At 49.2% G+C, this 1,991-nt stretch overlaps 2 annotated features.

The window, feature by feature from the left end:
- Positions 593-1,093: an enhancer, noted in NCBI's record as "NANOG-H3K4me1 hESC enhancer chr14:92719935-92720435 (GRCh37/hg19 assembly coordinates)". NCBI's record gives its function as "activates a minimal SCP1, AML or CMV promoter by ChIP-STARR-seq in naive H9 embryonic stem cells {active_cell/tissue: H9 hESC(naive)}" and the evidence as "EXISTENCE:reporter gene assay evidence [ECO:0000049][PMID:30033119]".
- Positions 1,094-1,594: an enhancer, noted in NCBI's record as "NANOG-H3K4me1 hESC enhancer chr14:92719434-92719934 (GRCh37/hg19 assembly coordinates)". NCBI's record gives its function as "activates a minimal SCP1, AML or CMV promoter by ChIP-STARR-seq in naive H9 embryonic stem cells {active_cell/tissue: H9 hESC(naive)}" and the evidence as "EXISTENCE:reporter gene assay evidence [ECO:0000049][PMID:30033119]".

Below are 1,991 nucleotides of genomic sequence, written 5' to 3'. Positions count from 1 at the left end.
GTACAGTCATTTTTCTCGTTTGCAGATTGTCAGGAGCTCAGGGTCTTTCATGTATTTGCTCTAATGAGTCACATTATTAGATGGTCAAATTGTCAGACTTGTCGTGTGAACACCTTTAGGATGCCCCTGGCATCCTTGAAAGCATTCTTCCTTTCTGGCGACTGTAAAGATGATCCAGAACTTTCTGTCCTGATTTCCTCTTGCCTCAACACAAGAAATCTGTGGAGTCCTGATTCCATTAATAGAGAACAAGTGTTAAAGATCAAAATCCGGGCTGGGTGCGGTAGCTCACGCCTGTAATCCCAGGACTTTGGGAGGCCGAGATGGGCAGGTCACCTGAGGTCAGGAGTTCGAGACAAGCCTGGCCAACATGATGAAACCCTGTCTCTACTAAAAATACAAAAATTACATGGGCATGGTGGCGGGAGCCTGTAATCCCAGCTACTCGGGAGGCTGAGCCAGGAGAATCGCTTGAACCCGGGAGGTGGAGGTTGCAATGGGCCAAGATCGCGTCAGTGCACTCCAGCCTGGGCATCAAGAGCAAGACTCCATCTCAAAAAAAAAAAAAATCAAAATCTGGCTGCACTGGGACTTACTCCTGGTAGTGACAAAGCTGGAACATTTCTTTTTGAGATTATGAATTTATATAGATAGTTTCAATTCAGCATAATGCCTCTCTGAACTTCACTTTAAAAAAACATATAGGTTATCATTTCCATGATCAAGACTTTTGGTTCCCCAACAGGACCAAGGCGGCTTGAGGAAGAATCAAGGGTAGTATCGGCTTCAGGAAGTAACAAAGCACAGGCAGGGTCCTCTGCGAAGTGATGCAGATGAAACCCCAGGAATGAATGACACGCTCAGTACCTGCCAGGCACCGCTCTGAGAACTTCATCCGCATTATGTTACTTAATCATCACGGCCCCCTGCCAGGAGGATCATTATGCCTGCTTTACAGAAAAGACTTACAGGTTAAAGTGCCTAAGGTCCTGCAGTCTCCAAACCTGGCCAATCCACCCGCAGAGCCCATGCTCTGAACCACCGCACCACATGGCCAGGTGAGGGCCGTCTCGGTCCCCAAATGAGCCGCCTACGCATACACTGCCAAGCCTTTGCCCACGCTGTTGGCTCTCCCCTGCTGTGCTTGGAACGCCTACTTGACCTTCAAATTCCAGCCTGAGTCCTCCACCTCCTCTGTGCTCCTGACTCCTTGTGCATCTCCACACACATTAGAGCTGTGTGTGTGTGTGTGTGTCCCTCAGGGCACACACGCAAGGGCAGGTTCTGCGCTTCATTCATTTGCATCCACACTGCACAGTGCCTGACACACAGATGGTGCTCAAGACATACTTGATGAAGGAAGAAAGAGGGAAACCTGGATCTCAGGTAGCTCAGGGAAATGCTTCTATCACCTGGCACGAGCTGAGGGATCCCCGCTCCCGCCTGTCATTTTATATTTATTAAAAGGGACCTACCCCGTCTCCTGCTCCATGCAGCACCTTAAATATTAGGTGGCTGCTTTTCTCAAAATGAGAGTCTTTCCTGCTAAGGAAAACAATAGCCTGATTTGCTCCTGTCCTCAAGATTTCTGGTAACAATCTCAGAGGTCAGCGAGGAAAACTGGAGTGGGGTAGAGGGCCAAGGACTTATAGTCTCCTTCAGGGGCTTGGGGGCTTGGGAGAAACCCCACAAACCCAGCAGGCTCTTGCTGGCTGGCTGGCTGATGATCATGCCCTCTCTCTCTCTCTTTCTCTCTGTCTGTCTCTCTCTCTCTCTTTCTCCCTCTCTGTCTCTCTCTCTCTCTCCTACTCCCTCTTCCCCTCCACTTCTCTCTTTGTACCTCTTGCCCTCCTTCTTCTGTTTTCTCTCTCTCTCTCTCTCTCTCACACACACACACACACACACACAGACACACACACACAAACACACACACACACACATAGAGCCTTGGTAACTAGTGGTTACAAAAAAAGCCCAAATTCAGCCACAGC

Source organism: Homo sapiens, chromosome 14 (assembly GCF_000001405.40).
Source record: "Homo sapiens chromosome 14, GRCh38.p14 Primary Assembly".
NCBI classification, from domain to species: Eukaryota; Metazoa; Chordata; class Mammalia; order Primates; family Hominidae; genus Homo; species Homo sapiens.
The sequence above is the reverse complement of the archived record's forward strand: the minus strand, read 5'-3'. Positions and strand labels throughout refer to the sequence as shown.